Below are 22,865 nucleotides of genomic sequence, written 5' to 3' on the forward strand. Positions count from 1 at the left end.
AGACATCACATCTGAGAAAAATTCTGAAAAGAGCCATGCTATTAAATGCTGATATTAATTGTCTCCAACCTAGAAGAGGGAGGGCATTTCTTCCTTAATCAGCCAACTTTAGAATTCACACTAAAGTTTCAGCTGTACTGTGTCTCAATTATAATTCACAATATCAACAGCAAAAATTCAATGCTATTTTCTAAAAATACTTTAGGTATGACTCTGATTTCTCAAGTTTTGACTATGACTATGAGTCATGACTACCAACATTTAGATCAGCACTATGAGATTAACCAGAACCAATATGTAAATGTATACGGCAGAAAGCCATCAATCAATCTGGAGTGGACACAATGTTTCCAAGTGTAACTATAATAGAGGAGCAAAGCAAAAACAGAATCCTGGAATCAGACAATGTGTGACAGTACAACAGCCTAAAAGAGCTGCCGGCAAGACATATTGGGAAAGTTAGTCCAAAGGAGCACATCCATGCTCAAGAGATAAGAATGAATCAACTCCTGATGGGGAAGATGGCTGGTACTCTTCTGCCCATCATAACTAACTCTACCCTCCCAACAATCTAGGGTATAGGTACCAGTATTACATTCATCTTACACAGTAGGTAGAAAGGAGCTTAACAACTTGCCAAAGATTACTGAGCTTTTAAATGGATGGCCTGGGATTATGAAGTCAGGCCACCCTGGCTGGCTCCAGGGTCCACAATCTTAACCCACGTGCGATGGACTCTTTCAGTGAATGAGTTGGCAGGATCTCCCAGATTCCTAATTCCTTCCTGTCTCACCAGAGTTCTATTGACAGATTGAGTTTGTTTGCTTTGAACTTGTCAGACAAAATAAAATGTGGTGCTTTTGAAAGGCCCTTGGTGGGAAAGCGGGGAATGAAATGGTTTGGCTGGAGAGAGAACACTACTCCACATCTTCACTACTGAGATTTCAACCCAGTTGTTATGATTTCAGTGCTGATTTCACAAAGTCATCGATTCGAAAGCTTCCCCCATTCCCACCCTGTAATCTGAACTCTGAAAGTACATGGAAAACACAAAAGTAAACTTAATTGTGAATAGTCTTATTATTCTGCAATTTTGTGTAATTATCCAAACCCACTTGAAATAATAACAGAGGTCAAGACAAAGAACATGCACGGATAAACATGGATATTGTTCCATAACCTGACACATTATATGTGGGTTAAGATCTTTACACTATACAAAGAAAATTCAAACTGGGTTATATTTCCTAAGCGAGTTTATACGTTGAATTAGGAGAATACAGCAAAAACTATCCCATGGAGACATTATGCAAACTGGTAAGCATGGAGGTCATCAAGCCTTATGTACTGGAGATGGTAGGACAGATCCATCCATTATTCAAGCACAGCCAAGAAAGTGCACTTGAAGTTCCAATCTAAGATTCTAAGATTCCATATTCTTCCTTTATGGTAAAAGATGGGTTCCAAGTTTCCCATATGGAATATAATGGCCAAGCCCTTTCTTATACAGCTCAGAGCAGGGACACCCTGGGGAGGTGTGAAGAACCGTGGAAGAGATGAAGATGAGGGCCTAGTGCACTCTTGGGCTCTCACCCTTTTGCATGGGCTAGCTCCCTGCTTTCTGACCTGCTCCCTACCAGAACACAGCTCTTCCTCATCCCCAGCCTCACTATCCCCCTACTCTCCTCTAATTGGAGTATCCACCTCATTAGAGTCTCCTTAAATGGTCTCAGGGCTGACAATAACACAACAATTTATGGAAGAGCTAAACATTCCTCCCTATGCTATCACACAGGCAATGGGTAAGTACTGCATTTTAAATTTAGTGCTTTCTAGGACAATCATACCCCAAAAGAGCTCTAATATGTCTGAAACAAGTAATGCTAACAGAGTTGTCTGCCTCATTTCCTAATGCTTCAAGCTCTTATTAGGCTGAATAATTAAGAAAACTATTTTTTCTTCTTTGTTTTTCCAAGTATGATAACTTTCTTCCATACATGTCTATATAAGCTTTTACTCAAGGACAGCTGATTTAATGGGTTGTGATGACGGATAATTAAGTCTCTTAATTATTCTCTTAGGATTATTGTAGCTGTGAAAATCAAGCCACATACACATACATTCAAACAGCAATTAAAAATATTGAATTGCTTTTTAATTTAGAAATTATTTCTGGTTTTGGAAGCTATCTCTGGCCCCAATATGCTCATCATTATATTTGCATATTCAAAGACTTTATCAGTCTTCATAACCATTTTGATTGGTCTACCTCCTATGGTGTTTTGACAAATATTATTATAATCTGTTAGATTTATGTTCCTACTAATACACTATCCAGGTGATTTAACAAACATATAGTGTTTCGTTATCCAATTTTAATAGAACCTATAAAAATACAAATGTAACTAGTCCAAATGTGGTACAAAATCTCATCCTTTCAAGAAACCTGAATCTGGTTATTACCAAAATAATTCCTTCCTGTGCCATCTACACCAGCCTCTACTTTCCCTTTAAATAATGATGAGCCTCAAGAGAAAGAAACTCAACATTAGGAAGGAGCTTCTATATTGCCTTTACATGAATAACAAACAAAACTATTATAGCATGATCATCCTAAGATAAAACAGTTAACTTTGCTCCTCCATGCCTAACATCATTAAGGACATTCCTTGAGGTTCAGTAATGTTTAATATCAATAGATTCACAACATACAAAATAGAAATAGAAACATTATCAACTATATAAAATCACTTGATTGGTTCTCTACCAAGAAAATGCCACAAAACAGGAAGTGTTAACTCTCCAGTAATATTCCTACATAGTCAGTGGAACTTGTAAATGTATTCAACTAATATTTACTGAGCACCTATTATGTAACAGAATTTGGGATATAATATGAGCTTTTCTAAAGCCTGCTGTATTTTAGAAATTCCCAGCCTAGTAAAGGCAAGAGAAAAAAAGTAATTGTAATACAAGTTGAGAAGTAAAGGTATATACTGTAAGAACACAGAGAGAAAAACACGTTTGTAGAGAAGATGGAGGATTACACAGCGATGCCCAGCCCAGCAGCCACCTGAGCAGGAATGAAGGGAAGATAGAAGTTCTTGAGAGATAAGAGAGACGTATGCTTGCTGAAAACAGGTACCAGGATGTGCAAAGTCTGTGAGAAGTGGAAAAACATCTCACATTCATGAAACTGCAAGAAATGTGTATGGCTGAATGCCACAAGGAATGTTGAGGAATAAGCAGATCTTGAAGCTGGAAAAACAGGAAAGGTCAGACCATGGTGTTTCATACAGGATATTGTTTGAAAATAGGATTTTTTTTTTAAATTTAAGAGTTTTAAGCAGTAAGGTAATGCCATAGTTTACATATATTAAGCCATGAACCACAGTAGGAGGCAGGAGGAATGGAGGACACAGAGCATTATAAACAACTGCCCAAGGCCAGAAAGCAAGTAAAGGAGCTAAGATTCAAATGTGATCAGATGCGCAGTTTAGAAGGATGACTTGAGGAAAAAGGGATAGAATGTATGTGAGGATAGAATACAATTAATAAAAGATTAGCTAGTTTAAGCCCGTGGTGATAAGGCAACGAGGCTGAATTCAATAAGCTTGAATAAGGCTGAATGCACTGTAAGCTGTAGACTAGACAGAACAGTATAAGTACACATTTAGGGACCATCAATGAGAACGGGGAACCAGCAAAGGCATCCATTGCTCTGGACAAAAGGTTATGAATCTGATCTCTGAGGTCAGTTTAAAGAGCTCCATCCAAATGATGATAGTATGAAAAACTATTCTACTGTTCAGGAAAGAAGTTAGTTTGGAGGTAAAGACAAAACATTCCTTATCTTGATTTTTGTATGTCTTTGCTTGGGAACAAAGGAGATACAGTGATGTAAGTGTGGCTCAGATGTTTTGTTTATTTTGACTTTGCTTCTTTTGAGGGGAAAGGAATGGAACAAGAAGTCACCTACAATTGCTCACACAATCATCCATCTGCATTTGTCATAGCTGGTCAACATGCAGGGTCCACACCAAGGTGCTGACCACATTATGGGTATGATTAAGGATGAGGACCCTCATGTGAAATAGCTTTGTTGAGCGTGAGAAACAATGTGCCCTAACACAAAGACATACGGCTTGATCACCATGAAGTGGGGATCACAACAATTCACTACAGCTCTTTTTCCTAAAGAACAGAACAAAGTATCCATTATAGCATTTGACAATCTAAGCATTCCTTCTGGGACCACCTTCTGCCCATGGCTCATCCTGTCCAGGTTTTCTTCCTCATCACTAGCTGCTCCTTCTCAGTCTCCTTTAGCAGACTAAGCTGTGTTTCCTCCAATGGTGGCATGGCCCTGGCATCTGCTTCGGATCCTTCACTTTCCACTCTTCCTTCCTCCTTGGGTAATATTACCTTGTTTTATGACAGCAAACACCATCAGTACAACACACCTGCATTCCTGTCCATTACTGGAAAGTATTAATTCTTCCACCTCTCTCCTGGGTATATTCCTTGGCATATCCAAAAGCATCTCAAACGTAATACATGTAAATCACCAGCCATGATTTCCCTCTCTGCCTCCCAACTTGCTTCTCCCCTAGTGTTGCCCATACACTACCCACTTAGTTGCTCTGGTCAAAGGTATACAAGTCATCCTTGAGTCTTCTTGTTTCCTCACTGCCAACATCCAATCCACCAACAAATCATGTTGACTGGAACTAACAAACAAAACTTTCCAAATGCGTCCATTTCTCTACCAGTAACTCTTGCCTAAATTCTAATGCAATTTCCTAATGGATGTCCTTCCTATAACTTTGTCCCATTATAACCCTTTCCTCTATGACTCACCCAAAAGTATCTTTTTAATAAGAAAAATAGATGATGTTTAATACCTTCGAGTGGCTTGCCATTTAGGTACCTAAAACACAATTCAAAGTCTTGGGCCTGGTTCACAAAGCTTGAGGTGTTTCTGCCTCCAATTCTCTGACCCCGTGTGTCACCATTCCTCTACTCCTTGAGCCCTGTGATCCAGCAACTCTAAACCTCTGTAGGTTCCTTTAGCCTTATCCACTGTTCCCTCTTCCAAACCTTTGTATTCACTGAGCTCTCTTTCCCAAAGGTGCTTTCCCTCACCTGTGCCTGACTCCTCAATATTCAGATATTGACTCAACTGCCACTCTATAAGAGTAGACCATTCTTTGCCACCCTATCTACAAGAACTTCATAAATACTTTCTATCACATCACTGCATTTGAATTCTTGGCAGCACACTTACCAGTTTCTAACACTTTTCCTAACTATTAATTGATTAAATATCTCCTCCAACTATAATAACACTGTAAGAGAAGTCCTTCCCTTGGTTCAACACTTTATTTCCTGTACTTGGAAGTCTGACTGCCCCATAAGAGACCCTGATTAAATATGTGCTGAAGGAAGGAATAATCTAGGAGTTTGAAATGAGTTTACTTTTGCAAACTTCTGTCTGAAGGTAGGAATTTCAAGGCGAGAGCCTCATCACATTTGTCATCAGGTGAACCTGGTTTTAAGAGTATAAGTTCAAGATTAGCATGAAGAGTGAAAAAATCAGTTTGCATTTAGTTTTCAAATTCATCTTGCATATCTATGTGATGTGAATAATAATCTCTGACCTTCTTGGTTCATAAAATTGTTGTGAGATTTAATGAGATAGTTACAGAGGCACTGTATAAACTCTCAGGCAAAGTAATTTAGTAGAAATAGTTGGGTCTGTAGTCTTCTGTCTGCATCACCAACTGGAGAGCTTATTCATGGCATGGAGGAATTTGCTGGTACATTGAGTGAGTGTGGCTTAACTGGGGCGGTGGGAGTTGCCACCTGGCCCTTGAAGAGTTTTGCATCTGGCAATAATCCAGAGAATGACTCCACTGAGAGGTAATAAACACAGAGAAAACTCTTTACCTATCATCTCTATGACCTTCTCACAGCGTCTTGTATTGGAGACATTTCAATTGTTCCTTGGATGGAAAGTAGCTCACCTTTTACTGTCAGCAGGACACATGGTACATGTGCCATTACGTTGGGAAATGGCTGCACAACTATTCTAAGTGGAAAAGTAAAGCTCTACACATCTGTATACTACCCACATAGATCTTTTTTTTTTCCATTCTACATTAAATGTCACTGAAAGTAGATCAAATGAAGTGCAAGCTCCCATGTCATCCTGGAAAATGTCCATGAAAACAGTCAGCATTAACACAAAATGTGTGGTTTATACTAGGGACTGAGATTCTATTTTGCTCTAAAAAAAAAAGACTATAATTTCTCCTGACAGATGAGGTCAGTGAATAATGTTTAAAATAGATGACGTCCCCTTACTTCTTACCCTTCCCCTTGGTCATAAGGCACCACTAGTGGTTCAGAACCCCCAGCATTACAACCACCATTACATGCATCAAGGTGGTGGTCAGGGCTTGCAGATGTTTTATTACAACTCTACCAAGGGGCATCCATGGGAGGGTTCAGCAAAGCCCAGGAACAGGGTACACAGGGGTGTGCAGGGCAAGTCAGCCCCTAGACAGCTCTGTACCCAGTAACTGAGGCCTCAGAAGGCAGAGAGAAGCCAAGTAAAGGGCAAGGAGGGTGTTAGGGTGTTTTGTTTCCTTCCTTCGAGGCTATAGATGATACCACTACACCCTACAACTAGCTGCCAGCACCTAGTGCAAACATGCTGAGATTTTGACCTGCTGAATACACATTTGGACTGAATACTGAAAAGTCGCTGAGAAGAAACACAAGGGGGAAGAACTGTCAAATGGCATGGCATATTACTAACATAAAAAAAGAAGCATTCCTGTTGATTTGAAAAGAATATCAAGAGAAGCTAGAAGCCTTACCATCGCCCCTTCAAATAGGTTATCAAATGCTAGCTTCAGTCCTAACTCTATATTTTCATGTAAGTTCTTAAATTAAGAGGCTCAGGGAACCAAAATTTTACTATGCAATGAACATCTTGGCCATTGGGTTACAAATGAATTGATCAAACTTACTTTGTCTTGGGATTGGATTTAGGTTACCTATTGAAGACTGGTAGCCAACCAGGCGTGCTGTCTTTCAGTGAGGTGGCAAGAGACCACAGGCCTATCTCATTCTGTCTTCTCCACTCGCAGGCTCAAATGCCAAGGCCTCAATGCACTGGCTCTCTCTCTCTCCTTAAGTGTACAAGACAATGGAAGAAGTCTTGCCCTAATCACCCTTAGGTTATCCAGGGGAACAAAGAGCTGGGCTGAATCCTGGTGATGAGATTTACTCAAGTCTTTTTATTTCCCTATCCCTCATTTTTCCTCATTGCTTGCTGGATATAATAAAAATAGCAACCTCAAAGGGTCTTGGTGAGTATTAAGGAGTGCTTACAAATAGCATTTAATCCAGTGTCTGCACATAGTAAGCCTGTGATATTGTTAACTACATAATTACTTCCACTATTATTTGTCTTTTCTTCTTTCTTTCTTTTTTTTTTTTTTTTTTTTTTTTTCCCTGAGATGGAGTTTTGCTCTATAGCCCAGGCTGGAGTGCAATGTCATGATCTCTGCTCACTGGAACCTCTGCCTCCTGGGTTCAAGCGTTCAAGCAATTCTCGTGCCTCAGCCTCCCAAGTACCTGCAACCACAGGGGCCTGCCACCATACCTGGCTAATTTTGTATTTTTGGTAGAGGTGGGGTTTCACCATGTTGGCGAGGTTAGTCTGGAACTCCTGACCTCGGGTGATCTGCCTGCCTTGGCCTCCCAAAGTGCTGGGATTACAGGCATGAGCCACCAGGCCCGGCCCCATTATTTTTTACAAAAAGCCTTTTTAATCCCATTCTAATTCTTTTGCTATCTGCCTTTCACTTGGAAATACAGCTACAATGGAAGAGAGAAATGCAAACTGCTTCTGGGCAAAATTTGCTTTTAATATTCTCAAAAGGTTTGTAGTACCAAATTTTTCCCCACATGTTCACTTGAAATTATTCTTCACTTTGGGGGAGATTTAAAAATAAAATTTTAGTTTCCATGTAGTTGAGTGGCTTTGAGTGAGATTCTTAATCCTGAGTTCTAGTTTGATTGCACTGTGGTCTGAGAGATAGTTTGTTATAATTTCTGTTCTTTTACATTTGCTGAGGAGAGCTTTACTTCCAACTATGTGGTCAATCTTGGAATAGGTGTGGTGTGGTGCTGAAAAAAATGTATATTCTGTTGATTTGGGGTGGAGAGTTCTGTAGATGTCTATTAGGTCTGCTTGGTGCAGAGCTGAGTTCAATTCCTGGGTATCCTTGTTGACTTTCTGTCTCCCTGCTCCTGAATGACTACTGGGTACATAACGAAATGAAGGCAGAAATAAAGATGTTCTTTGAAACCAATGAGAACAAAGACACCACATACCAGAATCTCTGGGACGCATTCAAAGCAGTGTGTAGAGGGAAATTTATAGCACTAAATGCCTACAAGAGAAAGCAGGAAAGATCCAAAATTGACACCCTAACATCACAATTAAAAGAACTAGAAAAGCAAGAGCAAACACATTCAAAAGCTAGCAGAAGGCAAGAAATAACTAAAATCAGAGCAGAACTGAAGGAAATAGAGACACAAAAAACCCTTCAAAAAATCAATGAATCCAGGAGCTGGTTTTTTGAAAGGATCAACAAAATTGATAGACCGCTAGCAAGACTAATAAAGAAAAAAAGAGAGAAGAATCAAATAGACACAATAAAAAATGATAAAGGGGATATCACCACTGATCCCACAGAAATACAAACTACCATCAGAGAATACTACAAACACCTCTACGCAAATAAACTAGAAAATCTAGAAGAAATGGATACATTCCTCGACATATACACTCTCCCAAGACTAAACCAGGAAGAAGTTGAATCTCTGAATAGACCAATAACAGGCTCTGAAATTGTGGCAATAATCAATAGTTTACCAACCAAAAAGAGTCCAGGACCAGATGGATTCACAGCCGAATTCTACCAGAGGTACAAGGAGGAACTGGTACCATTCCTTCTGAAACTATTCCAATCAATAGAAAAAGAGGGAATCCTCCCTAACTCATTTTATGAGGCCAGCGTCATTCTGATACCAAAGCCGGGCAGAGACACAACCAAAAAAGAGAATTTTAGACCAATATCCTTGATGAACATTGATGCAAAAATCCTCAATAAAATACTGGCAAACCGAATCCAGCAGCACATCAAAAAGCTTATCCACCATGATCAAGTGGGCTTCATCCCTGGGATGCAAGGCTGGTTCAATATACGCAAATCAATAAATGTAATCCAGCATATAAACAGAGCCAAAGACAAAAACCACATGATTATCTCAATAGATGCAGAAAAAGCCTTTGACAAAATTCAACAACCCTTCATGCTAAAAACTCTCAATAAATTAGGTATTGGTGGGACGTATTTCAAAATAATAAGAGCTATCTATGACAAACCCACAGCCAATATCATACTGAATGGGCAAAAACTGGAAGCATTCCCTTTGAAAACTGGCACAAGACAGGGATGCCCTCTCTCACCACTCCTATTCAACATAGTGTTGGAAGTTCTGGCCAGGGCAATCAGGCAGGAGAAGGAAATAAAGGGCATTCAATTAGGAAAAGAGGAAGTCAAATTGTCCCTGTTTGCAGACGACATGATTGTTTATCTAGAAAACCCCATCGTCTCAGCCCAAAATCTCCTTAAGCTGATAAGCAACTTCAGCAAAGTCTCAGGATACAAAATCAATGTACAAAAATCACAAGCATTCTTATACACCAACAACAGACAAACAGAGAGCCAAATCATGAGTGAACTCCCATTCACAATTGCTTCAAAGAGAATAAAATACCTAGGAATCCAACTTACAAGGGATGTGAAGGAACTCTTCAAGGAGAACTACAAACCACTGCTCAAGGAAATAAAAGAGGACACAAACAAATGGAAGAACATTCCATGCTCATGGGTAGGAAGAATCAATATCGTGAAAATGGCCATACTGCCCAAGGTAATTTACAGATTCAATGCCATCCCCATCAAGCTACCAATGACTTTCTTCACAGAATTGGAAAAAACTACTTTAAAGTTCATATGGAACCAAAAAAGAGCCCGCATCGCCAAGTCAATCCTAAGCCAAAAGAACAAAGCTGGAGGCATCACACTACCTGACTTCAAACTATACTACAAGGCTACAGTAACCAAAACAGCATGGTACTGGTACCAAAACAGAGATATAGATCAATGGAACAGAACAGAGCCCTCAGAAATAATGCCGCATATCTGCAACTATCTGATCTTTGACAAACCTGAGAAAAACAAGCAATGGGGAAAGGATTCCCTATTTAATAAATGGTGCTGGGAAAACTGGCTAGCCATATGTAGAAAGCTGAAACTGGATCCCTTCCTTACACCTTATACAAAAATCAATTCAAGATGGATTAAAGATTTAAACGTTAGACCTAAAACCATAAAAACCCTAGAAGAAAACCTAGGCATTACCATTCAGGACATAGGCGTGGGCAAGGACTTCATGTCCAAAACACCAAAAGCAATGGCAACAAAAGCCAAAATTGACAAATGGGATCTAATTAAACTCAAGAGCTTCTGCACAGCAAAAGAAACTACCATCAGAGTGAACAGGCAACCTACAACATGGGAGAAAATTTTCGCAACCTACTCATCTGACAAAGGGCTAATATCCAGAATCTACAATGAACTCAAACAAATTTACAAGAAAAAAACAAACAACCCCATCAAAAAGTGGGCGAAGGACATGAACAGACATTTCTCAAAAGAAGACATTTATGCAGCCAAAAAACACATGAAGAAATGCTCATCATCACTGGCCATCAGAGAAATGCAAATCAAAACCACTATGAGATATCATCTCACACCAGTTAGAATGGCAATCATTAAAAAGTCAGGAAACAACAGGTGCTGGAGAGGATGTGGAGAAATAGGAACTCTTTTACACTGTTGGTGGGACTGTAAACTAGTTCAACCATTGTGGAAGTCAGTGTGGCGATTCCTCAGGGATCTAGAACTAGAAATACCATTTGACCCAGCCATCCCATTACTGGGTATATACCCAAAGGACTATAAATCATGCTGCTATAAAGACACATGCACACGTATGTTTATTGCGGCACTATTCACAATAGCAAAGACTTGGAACCAAGCCAAATGTCCAACAATGATAGACTGGATTAAGAAAATGTGGCACATATACACCATGGAATACTATGCAGCCATAAAAAATGATGAGTTCATGTCCTTTGTAGGGACATGGATGAAACTGGAAACCATCATTCTCAGTAAACTATCGCAAGAACAAAAAACCAAACACCGCATATTCTCACTCATAGGTGGGAATTGAACAATGAGATCACATGGACACAGGAAGGGGAATATCACACTCTGGGGACTGTGGTGGGGTCGGGGGAGGGGGGAGGGATAGCATTGGGAGATATACCTAATGCTAGATGACACGTTAGTGGGTGCAGCGCACCAGCATGGCACATGTATACATATGTAACTAACCTGCACAATGTGCACATGTACCCTAAAACTTAGATTATAATAAAAAAAAAAAATTAAAAAAAAAAAGAAAATATATTTCTTATAAAATAAAATATTTTCGAAAAAATAAAAATAAAAATAAAATTTTAAATAAATGCCTAAGGAATTCCAAATGATTTGGCAAGCTAAATCCATTCTGTCAATAGAAAAAAAAAAAAAGATACAGATGTCTCTGCCAACAAAAAATCGGTTCAGAATATTAGGTTGTTTATTGCAATATTTGTATTTGAAGAAACCCACAATGGTTCTGTGCATTAAGAATTTTTGAGAATTTGTTATCATTGAAAGAAAGAAAAATTCCCATTCCCCATTCTTTTTTACTCCGTCCTCCAGGTCATCTAAGTCAGGGGTCCCCAACACCCAAGCCACGGACTGGTCCTGGTCCATGGCCTGTTAGGAACCAGGCCGCACAGCATGAGGTGAGCAGCAGACAAGTGAGCGTTACTGCCTGAGTTCCTCTGCCTGTCAGATCAGCAGTGGCATTAGATTCTCTTAGGAGCATGAGCCCTATTGTGAACTGCGCACTGCAGTGAGGGATCTAGGTTATCTACTCTTTATGGGACTCTAGTGCCTGATAATCTGAGGTGGAACAGTTTCATCCCAAAATCAACACCCACCCTTTCCCCACTGCCCCAATGCTCGTGGAAAAATTGTCTTCCACGAAACTGGTCTCTGGTGTCAAGAAGACTGGGGACCACTGATCTAAGTCGTTAGAACTCTTGTATTCTACCATTCAACCTTTACCTATGACATGAATTTAGGTTCTTGCAAAAGAAAGAGAACATAGGTTTTCATGCCTGTGATTAAATGCCTATGATCTGTACTTTGCCATGTGATTCCATGGTGGGAGGCAAGTTATCCTCATCGATCACATTTAGAGTTTAACCACATGAGCTACTCTAAAGAAGATGTTCTCATGGCTGAGTTTTCCCTGTGTCTCTTGGGTATTTCTCAATGTGCACTGCATTTAGAAATAAATCTCAAAGTGCTCTGATGACGTATCTTTTCTCAAACACACATTCCCCTCATCTCTCCCCATCTCCCCTGCAGAAATTGATAAGAAGTGAATTTCTCTAGAAAATCTAGTTTTGTTGTTGCCATTAAACTAATTTTAGGATTGGAAACTCACATATATGGTCACTATGTGCCTACCTTCTTTTTAGGAAACATGAGTCTGTGATGAAAGATATAAGTGAATCCAAATTCAAGTTTAATTTTGGAAACCATATGGTAAGATAAGAAGAGAATAAAACATAGCCTTCAAATAGATCACATTAGTTTTCATTTAGACCTATTATTTACTATTTAAGAACATTTTACATTTGCCAAATACATTTCTATAAGCCAAGAAGAACCAAATTTTTAGAGCTAGAATAAAGACAGAAAAAAGCAGGAGCCCAGAAGGAGGAAAAGAAAGGAAAAAGAAGGCCAGGAAGGTGAGGGAAAGTGGGAATAGTCAAAGGAAAGAGGATGGCAAGGACAAAGAGGAAGTGAAAAAAACATTAAACCATCTAGGCTCCAAGTAAATAACGCATTTTATTTCAATATGTCAAAGCAAATCCTAGAATAACGTACCAGGCACTTGAAATTAAAATACAGCCATATGCTCCGGGAATGATTTTACAAAGAAATGAAGGCAGAACTGATGTCAGCTGAACCACTTGAGAAGAAAATGCCCTACAGTTCTCAGCTTCGGGGTTCCAGGTTGCTGGGGGTGTGGCATTCTCATAGTGACACCTCCCACCCTGAGGTCATAGTGACACCTCCCACCCTGAGGTCACCAGCGGGTTAATGTTCAGTTTGCCCTTGGTAGATCCTGGCAACCAGGAATGGCAACATAAAAAAGGAAGCACATCTCTGTTTTATAATTTTATGTATCATATTTGAGGACAAAAATATATCTTTCCAAGTAAAATGAATCTAGTTCTTAAGTAACAACAACATTCATCACTCTCAAAAGTGTGAGGGGCTGGCTGACTTCGGGGTGGGAAGAAACATGGGGCGAGGGTGCAGTGGGGAAGAATCAAGTTTCTTTACCTACTAAGTACATTATCCCTTGTTTCAAACCCCAAAGACGTGAACAGAGATTGACTTTGATCTGAAATTCCTTCTAATCTTACTTTGGGAGCCTTCATTATAATGCACATGCATTTAGGAATAAAAGTTAGGGAAAATTCTTACTATGTGGATTGAATGACTGAAACTGTGAGTGAATGGTCTGTTGTGGATGAAATAAGGACATTCCCCATAGCCCCAAACCACCGCGAGACATTTTGGTGTGAGAGTAAAATTCAGCTCCACGGTCGTGTGCTAGCTCAGCATCTGGGAGGAACCAGGAGGGTCTCCAACGGCCTAATTACATATTCCCCTCCTGAGGCTCCTCTTGTGGATGAGGTGCTCTAGACAAATAACCTCCTTATTAGAAGGACAGGCCCAGTTCCTGCCTATCCATGAGGTGTGGGCTTCAGCTCCCTACCAGACCATATAATTTATCTAACAAGTCAATCCCATCCTTCTATGGAAACCACAGGCATCCTACCTTCCTTCCACTGTAAGGCCTGCCTCCCACAGCCCTGTGATGTTCAACTCTTCTGCCGCGGGACTCCCATGTGGCTTTGTGTGGTGTGTGCGGTCCTCCTGCTCCAGGCTGTGAGTATATGTGACTCATAAACTGCTGCTGATCTCATCTGTCCAGTGCCTGGCGTCCCATGTTCAGCTATCCCCATAACTCTAGGGCAAGGGATCCCTCCCTCACGAATAAGACAAACAAAAGGAAATTAAAACAAGCAACTTCTGAGGTCTGCTAAACCAAGTTCAAGTGAGCTGTCCACTTAGCGTCTGTTTAGGCCACTGCAAGGCTGCTTTCTCCCTACCCTGCAAGTCTGGGTTCCAGACACAGGATTCAGCAAGCCCTGGCTGGCTCTCCAGCAGGCGCTCTTGAGAATGTTAAGGGCTCAGCAGGCACACCGTGTTTTCATGTTCAGGGCCTGGCATCTGAAAAATGCTAGGCGGAGAAGGGCAGTGTTTTGCGGAGGAAGACCAAAGAGTAATTGCTACATTTCAACATTCCTTGCCCCACGGCTGCCCTGCTTCCAAATCTCTCCCACATTTTCTCCCACTTACCGCGAAAAAATCCATTTATCTCACATTTCCCAATCTGTTTGTGAACAAAAGGCATCCGTCCTCAATGCCGCACTGTATGAGCTCCAAATACTGCTGGTGCTACGTCTGCCTTGAGGGCATTTTAGGAGAGCAGGGAATGGTTCGAGTCTCTGAATACAGGTTGATGTTTCCAAAGGAGAGAACAGTCTATCCATGGTTCTGTGTTTTAGTTTGATATATCAGATAACACAAGATGCCAGAGTTATCCAGGGCACATTTTAAAGCACAAGTGAGCTTCTGTGCTAAGTATCTTATAAATAGAGTCTTCTGGCAAACTTCTGCTTTTAAATACTATTATTAATGAGAATGAATGGAAATAAATGATCTGGAGGGTTTCCTGTTATTCGTGACAATCTTTAGAGGGCCATGGCTCCTTAAATGACGAGATACTACACATTTTAAAAGTCTCTATCAATCTAATGATAAAATGCTAAGTTGAATACACCATTATTATTTAATGTAATTTCAGGCTAAATTAGAAACTTTTATCTGGTCCCGTAAGATAGTGTTAGAAAACAATATTTTATCTTCTAAGCAACTTCTTCTCACCCTCATGAGAAAGAATGTAGGAAGATTATAGCAATGAAATAATTATAACTATTCTCTTTTGATGGGACAAAGTAAGCATGATTAACTTATTTATCCTACAGTAATAAAGGTAACTTGTCCAGCTCAGAAAGCCCATGAAACTCTAGCCAACTTGTGGCCAGACCCTGTGTAACTCACTACTGAACCCCAAGTTCAGACTGCTGAATAAATCAATACAAACTCAACTTTACCAAAGCAGTATCAATATGGAAAGTTCAGCAAGCTCTGGATATTGGAAGAGTAAATATGAACACCTAATACAAAATACCTAACTAGGTACAAAATGAAGGAGAGAGATTTTAAGTATGCACCTAATTTAATTCTCAGAAGACTCCCTTAAAATCCCATTGTACAGATTAGAAGCCTGAGATTCAGTGAAGACGTGATATACCTTACAGAGCTCTGCCCAGCTAGAAAGTAGCAGAATCAAGGTGGATTTCTAGGTTGCTGGCTCAAAACCTTCGAACAGCTCTCTGAGTCCACATTGCAAACAGCAGGATGAGGCTCTTACCTGATGTTCACATTCAGAAAAGATTAGATTCTTATTTAATATATGAGCCAGGAAGAATTTCAGCTGAGAAGCCCGCCACACTTTGCAGGCTTCTGGGTTTGGAAAAACTCACAACATAAAATCTCATCTGAATCTCCTGTACTTTGCCTCTATATCGCGCTATCAAGCTGTTGCCCGATCCACTTGAAAACTCTGCTGAGCTGAAACCATCAATTCCTTGTGACAGTTCATTGAATCTTTGGTCCACTTTACTTTAGGAAGTTCTTCCTTAAACTGAGTGACATCAATCACCCCATACCTTGTACTCTTTAGTTCTGGGTCTATGCCTTAATGACACAGAGATAAATTCTTAACTGGTTTCCACATTATTGTGCTTTTCTTATTTACAGACCCTGAAATCTTCCTCCTGGGTCTTCTAGACCAGTGTTTCTGAAAGAGAGTATTCCTTCTCTCATTTCTCAGATAAAAGGCATCTGATTCCTCTGACTGCCCTGGTCTCTTTCTTCACTCTTCTTTCTGATTAGCTAGACCTCAAAAGTATAGAATTCAACTAAAATAGTTAAAGATAAAAAGACACATCTGAGATCGACTTCAGAATCATCTCTGGCCGGGGTGGGCATGGGCGAAGTGGATAAGGAAAGAGATGAGAAAAGATTTACAGAACACGTGGATAACTTTTTAAATTGGCAGCTGGGTACAAAGGGTTTTATTATACTATTCTCTTTACCTTTGTCTATGATTGAAATTTTTCATGATAAAAAGCTTTTTTCAAAAGTGTAGCATGCAAAAACATGCATATGACAGGATCTGTTAGAGGAAGCTAAGTTATCACATCCTGTATCATAATAATATAAATTGAGTAATAAAAATATGATTAAAAATTTGAGCCATGTAAATATGCTAATTTGTGCCTTCTGAAACACCTATAGTATTGGTTATACCTATAGTAGTTGGTTCTTGTTGTTCTTGTAGGTAGTGCATTTAGCACAATTGTAGGGCTTCTTATTTGCCCTTGAAAATTTTTTATTGGTAGATTTCATCTGTTAAGAATCTATGGACCCTAAAGCTGTCAATCAGCTGATTCACTTGGGATGATCCTCAAATATTTTTAACACATCGATAAAAATACAGAGACAGGCTGAGTTTAGAAACCTAGAGAATCAACTTCCAAGACATTTTCTGTGTGTGGAAGATGTGCACAGCTAGCAGTTCAGTCTGGAAGGATGACTGAACAAACAGTGATAAGACCACCCATTCACTGAGGAAAACACAGAAAACGGCGTCATGAGACTCCCAGGGAAGGAAATGTAAAGCTTACTTTTTATCCTTTTTTGGCAACACAGTTCAGAATTTTTCAGTAAATAGTAATGTGATAGCACTGATCTGGAATTTGAATAAAGCTAAATTATGATGGAACTAAAAATGCCATCTTAATAAATACTACTGCCCCCAGGCCATAAGAGTTGATACAGAGGTAGGAAATATTGAATCCATAAGTGAGCAAAAGATAATTAGATGTTAATAAAGAATTTATTTTCCCCGCACTGTGGCAAATTTCATTTACATCACACTTCATAAATAATCACCTTCAACACTTCAACAGATTGCTGTAATTTATCATAAATTTTTAAAATGCTACCTTGTATATATATAATTAATCAGCACCAACTGCTTGAATTTGTAATTGCTTAATAATTTGGGGATAAATTATTATCTGTGTTTTAAACATACTAATTTATTTTTAAAGTAAGTATATTTCTATTTGTTTTAGAAATGATGACAATTTCCAGATCAAGAGCTAGGAAGGCATACAACATTTACATCGTACAATTACCTTCTGGATGCTAAGGACAAAACACATTTTTGTTTCTCCAGGTTGCAAGATCTATAGGCTGATAGAAATGCATCCCTCTGCAACAACACACAGCACATGTGGTGGGGGAATGAACTGAGAGAAAATCCGCGGGATGGAGACTGGGAGCCTCATGCCTCTAATTTGTCATCACGCTGAATCATCCAACATCCTCACCTACAACAAATTACTGAGACTAGCACCCTGCTTACTCCCTTCCCCAGCTCTGTGAGAGACACCTTGGCGCCAGATGGCAGGCAGGAGATGGCCAGGCAGATAATACAGGATCTCCTGTAGGCATGGAAGCAGTAGAAATAGATATTAATAATAATCACCTATTGTGTTGGAGCTGTGACTTGTATCTGACTCAGTAGAAAGACAATGGAGATGGCTATGGAATTCCTAAAAAGTACAAGAACAGTATTTGTGTTCTGGCTTGGTTTTGATTAGCTATGCAACCTTGAGCAAATGGCCTCACCTGTCTAAGTTAGCGTACTCACTTGAAAATATGGGGAGAAAATAATAAATGCCCTAATTACCAAAAAATGGTGAGGTAGAGCTTGAAGGAGATAATGTTCATGAAAATATTCTTGTTAACACTAAAATAGAATAGAAACATTGTAATTACAACTGCTGTTGTAAGAGTAGCAAAAGAGACATAAAATATAAAATGTAAGATTATACATGGTGGTGACCTTAAGGCTTCTATAAATTTTTATAAAATATCTATTTATATTCTCTATGTCTATATACATAGTATGAAATGTAATAAATCTGCATATGCAAAACATAAGAATTAGTTCTAACACTCACTTCTGAGTTAGGAAGCCAGTGTTATTAAATTCCGTATGACAATGAACTCCATCCAGTCCCCTTTTTACAGCTGCACAGAGAAGACTTAGTAGAGTAGGCCTGAGACTGTCATCCTAGAAGGGCCTGCTTGCAAAATTGGCCCCTTAGCTGGTTTCTGGGAGCTCAGATATCAGGAGGGTTTCCACAATTCCCTGTTAAAAACGGCTCACTGTGCCTCAATTATTAATACATGCAAGGTGGTTTACGCAAGCATCTGCTTTCCTTCCAGGAGTCTGCAATTTTAATACATTCCAGGCAGAGAGGTCCTGTGTGATCTGCCCGCAGGAGAAACCCAGGGCATTGAGCCTCTCTGGTAGACAACACTCTCCTCGTGTTGTCACAATTTGCTGATGGAAGGATTAAGTGCATCCAGTGTGATTCCACTGGAAGAAGACTCTTGGAAGATCACACCTTGTTTTCTTCATGATCTATCCATGCACCTCTTGTCTTTGCTAATTTTTTTTTCCTTCACTGTAATAAATCACAGCCATGCATGACTACATATTGAGTCCTTGAGTCCCGGAGAATTATTGAACCTGGGGTGATCTACGAGAACCTCAATTCAATAGCATTACAAATCTATATGGAAATGACAATTTTCAGAGATAGATGACCCAAAACTTGAGCAAGTCCCATAGGAAACAATAACAACTCTTTCTAGATTCTGGCCAGAAAAGGAAGTATGAAAGGTACTGAGAGCGGGGGAAAGTCGAGTCTGGTTGGAAACACAGCATTCACTTTGGGAGCACATTCTCAGGTTGCCTGAGAACTGACTAGAGATGCTTCCAATATACCTAGAAAGCAGCAGCCCAGATTTGGCATACTCTGATGTTGGGGCAGCGGGTGGGGGCAGGGGGAGGAGGGTTTCCCCAGGACAAGGTTAAGGAGCTTTGCTTTACCTGGAACTTCTGGTCAAAAAAGAAAAAAAAATAGATTAAATATAAGCCATAATGTTATTGAGATCTAAGAGGCAGACTTCTCCAATGTACATCAGAGTAGCAAACTACAGCCTGTGGGTCAAATCCAGCCCATTGCCTATTTTCTGATCACTTGCTTGCTAAAAATAGGTTTTATATTTTCACATATTGAAGAAAGAATTTGTGAATGTTTGCTTTCTCCTTTTTAACATAAGGAACTTGATACGGTTTTGTTCTCTGTCCCCACCCAAATCTCACGTTAAATTGTAACCTCCACATATCGGGGAGGGGCCTGGTGGGAGGTCTTTGGATCATAGTGACAGATTTCCCCCATGCTGTTCTCCTGATAGTGACTGAATTCTCATGAGATCTGATGGTTTAAAAGCATGTGGCACTCCCCCGTTTACTTGCTCTCTCTTCTGCTCCTCCATGGTAAAACGTGCTTGCTTACCCTTTGCCTTCCACCATAATTGTAAGTTTCCTGAGGCCTCCAGGCCATGCTTCCTGTTAAGCCTGTGAAACTGTGAGTCCATTAAATCTCTTTTCTTCATAAATTACCCATTCTCAGGTAGTTCTTTATAGCACTATGAGAATGAACTAATAAAGAAAATTGGTAACAGGAGTGAGGTACGGCTATAAACATAACTGAAAATGTGAAAGCGACTTTGGAACTGAGTAACAGTTAGGGGCTAGAACAGTTTGGAGGGCACAGAAGAAGATAGGAAAATGTGGAAAAATTTAGAACTTGCTAGAGACTTACTGAATGGTTTTTGACCAAAAGGCTGATAGTAATAAAAACAAAGAAGGGGACTGCTGGCAAGATGGCAGAATAGGAACTGCAGCTCCCAGCAAGATCAATGCAGAAGGTGGGTGATTTCTGCTTTCCCAACTGAGGTACCTAGTGCATCTCATTGGGACTTGTTGGACAGTGGGTGCAACCCAAGGAGGGCAAGCCAAAGCAGGGTGGGGCATCACTTCACCCGGGAAGCACAATGGGTCAGGGAACTCCCTCTAGCCAAGGGAAGCCATTAGGGATTGTACCATGCACTCCGGCCCAGATACTGCACTTTTCTCACGCTCTTCACAACCCACAGACCAGGAGATTCCCTCCAGTGCCCACACTACCAGGACCCTGGGGTTCCAGCACAAAACTGGGCGGCTGTTTGAGCAGATACCAAGCTAGCCACAGGAGTTGTTTTTTCATACCCCAGTGGCACCTGGAGCACCAGCGAGACAGAATCATTCACTCCCCTGGAAAGGGGGCTGAAGCCTGGGAGCCAAGTGGTCTGGCTTGGCAGGTTTCAACCCCACAGAGCTCAGCAACCTAAGATCTACTGGCTGGAAATTTTCACTGCTAGCACAGCTGTCTGAGCTAGATGTGGGACGCTGGAGCTTGGTGGGGGTGTAGGGGAGTGTCTGCCATTGCTTAGGCTTGAGTAGGTGGTTTTACCCTCACAGTGTAAACAAAGCCACTGGGAAGTTCGAACTGAGTGGAGCCCACCACCGCAGCTCAGCAAGGCCACTGAAGCCAGACCATCTCTCCTCTCTGGGCAGGGCATCTCTGAAAAACATGCAGCAGCCCCAGTCAGGGACTTATAGATAAAACCCCCACCTCCCTGGGACAGAGCACCTGGGGGAAGGGGAGGTTTTTGGCAGAGCTTCAGCAGGCTGAAACATCCCTGCCTGATGGCTCTGAAGAGAACAGAGATCTCCCAGCACAGCATTTGAGCTCTGATAAGGGACAGACTGCCTCCTTAAGTGGGTCCCTGATCCCGGTGTATCGTGAATGTGAGACACCTCCCAGTAGGGGCCGACAGACACCTCATACAGGAGAGCTCTGGCTGGCATCTGGTGGGTGCCCCTGTGGGACAAAGCTTCCAGAGGAAGGAACAGGCAGCAATCTTTGCTATTCTGCAGCCTTCGCTGGTGATACCCAGGCAAACAGGGTCTGGAGTGGACCTCCAGCAAACTCCAACACGCCTGCAGAAGAGGGGCCTGAATGTTAGAAGGAACACTAACAAACAAAGGAATGGTATCAACATCAACCAAAAGGATGCCCACTCAGAGACACCAGCCAAAGGTCACTGACTTCAAAGACCAAAGGTAGATAAATCCACGAAGATGGGGGAAACCAGTGCAAAAATACTAAAAATTCCAAAAACCAGAATGCCTCTTCTCCAAAGGTTCACAACTCCTCACCAGCAAGGGAACAAAACTGGACGGAGAATGAGTTTGATGAATTGACAGAAGTAGGCTTCAGAAGGTGGGTAATAACAAACTCCTCTAAGGTAAAGGAGCATGTTCTAACCCAATGCAAGGAAGCTAAGAACCTTGAAAAAAGTTCTTGAAAGTTAGAGAAGAACATAAATGATCTGATGGAGCTGAAAAACACAGCAAGAGAAATTCGTGAAGCATACACAAGTATCAATAGCTGAATCAATTAAGCAGAAGAAAGGATATCAGAGATTGAAGATCAACTCAATGAAATAAAGGTGAAGACAAGATTAGAGAAAAAAGAAGTGAAAAGAAATGAACAAAGCCCCCAAGAAATATGGGACTATGTGAAAAGACTAAATCTATGTTTGATTGGGCTACCTTAAAGTGACAAGGAGAATGAAATCAAGTTGGAAAACACTCTGCAGGATATTATCTAGGAGAACTTCCCCAACCTAGCAAGGCAGGCCAACATTCAAATTCAGGAAATACAGAGAACACCACAAAGATACTCCTCGAAAAGAGCAACCCCAAGACACATAAATGTCAGATTCACCAAGGTCAAAATGAAGGAAAAAATATTAAAGGCAGCCAAGAGAGAAAGGTCAGGTTACCCACAAAGGGAATCCCATCAGACTAACAGCAGATCTCGCAGCAGAAACTCTACAAGCCAGAAGGAGTGGGGGCCAATATTCAACATTCATAAAGAAAAGAATTTTCAACCCAGAATTTCATATCCAGCCAAACTAAGCTTCATAAGTGAATGAGAAATAAAATCCTTTACAGACAAGCAAATGCTGAGAGATTTTGTCACCACCAGGCCTGCCCTACAAGAGCTCCTGAAGGAAGCACTAAACATGGAAAGGAACAACCAGTACCAGCCACTGCAAAAACATACCAAATTGTAAAGACCATTGATGCTATGAAGAAACGGCCTCAACTAACGGGCAAAATAACCAGCTAGCATCATAATGACAGGATCAAATTCACACATAACAATATTAACCTTAAATGTAAATGGGTTAAATGCCCCAATTAAAAGACAAAGACTGGCAAATTGGATAAAGAGTCAAGACCCATCGGTGTGCTGTATTCAGGAGACCCATCTCATGTGCAAAGACACACATAGGCTCAAAATAAAGGGATGGAGGAAAATTTACCAAGCAAATGGACAGCAAAAA

The 22,865-nt window shown here is 40.5% G+C and overlaps 1 protein-coding gene across 11 annotated transcripts in view; it reads right to left on the reverse strand.

The window, feature by feature from the left end:
* SEMA5A (semaphorin 5A) overlaps positions 1 to 22,865 on the reverse strand; it is a 511,043-nt gene that overhangs the window by 216,274 nt on the left and 271,904 nt on the right. The window contains exon 1 of one of the 11 annotated variants that reach the window (XM_011514159.3): positions 14,128 to 17,753. The exons of the other annotated variants lie outside the window; for them this stretch is intronic. Coding sequence (XP_011512461.1) covers positions 14,128 to 14,256 — 129 coding nt within the window. The 5' untranslated portion in view covers positions 14,257 to 17,753. Of the gene's footprint in view, positions 1 to 14,127; positions 17,754 to 22,865 lie in introns of those variants that run through there. 11 annotated transcript variants of the gene reach the window in all.

This window comes from Homo sapiens, chromosome 5 (genome assembly GCF_000001405.40).
Source record: "Homo sapiens chromosome 5, GRCh38.p14 Primary Assembly".
Lineage (NCBI taxonomy): Eukaryota > Metazoa > Chordata > Mammalia > Primates > Hominidae > Homo > Homo sapiens.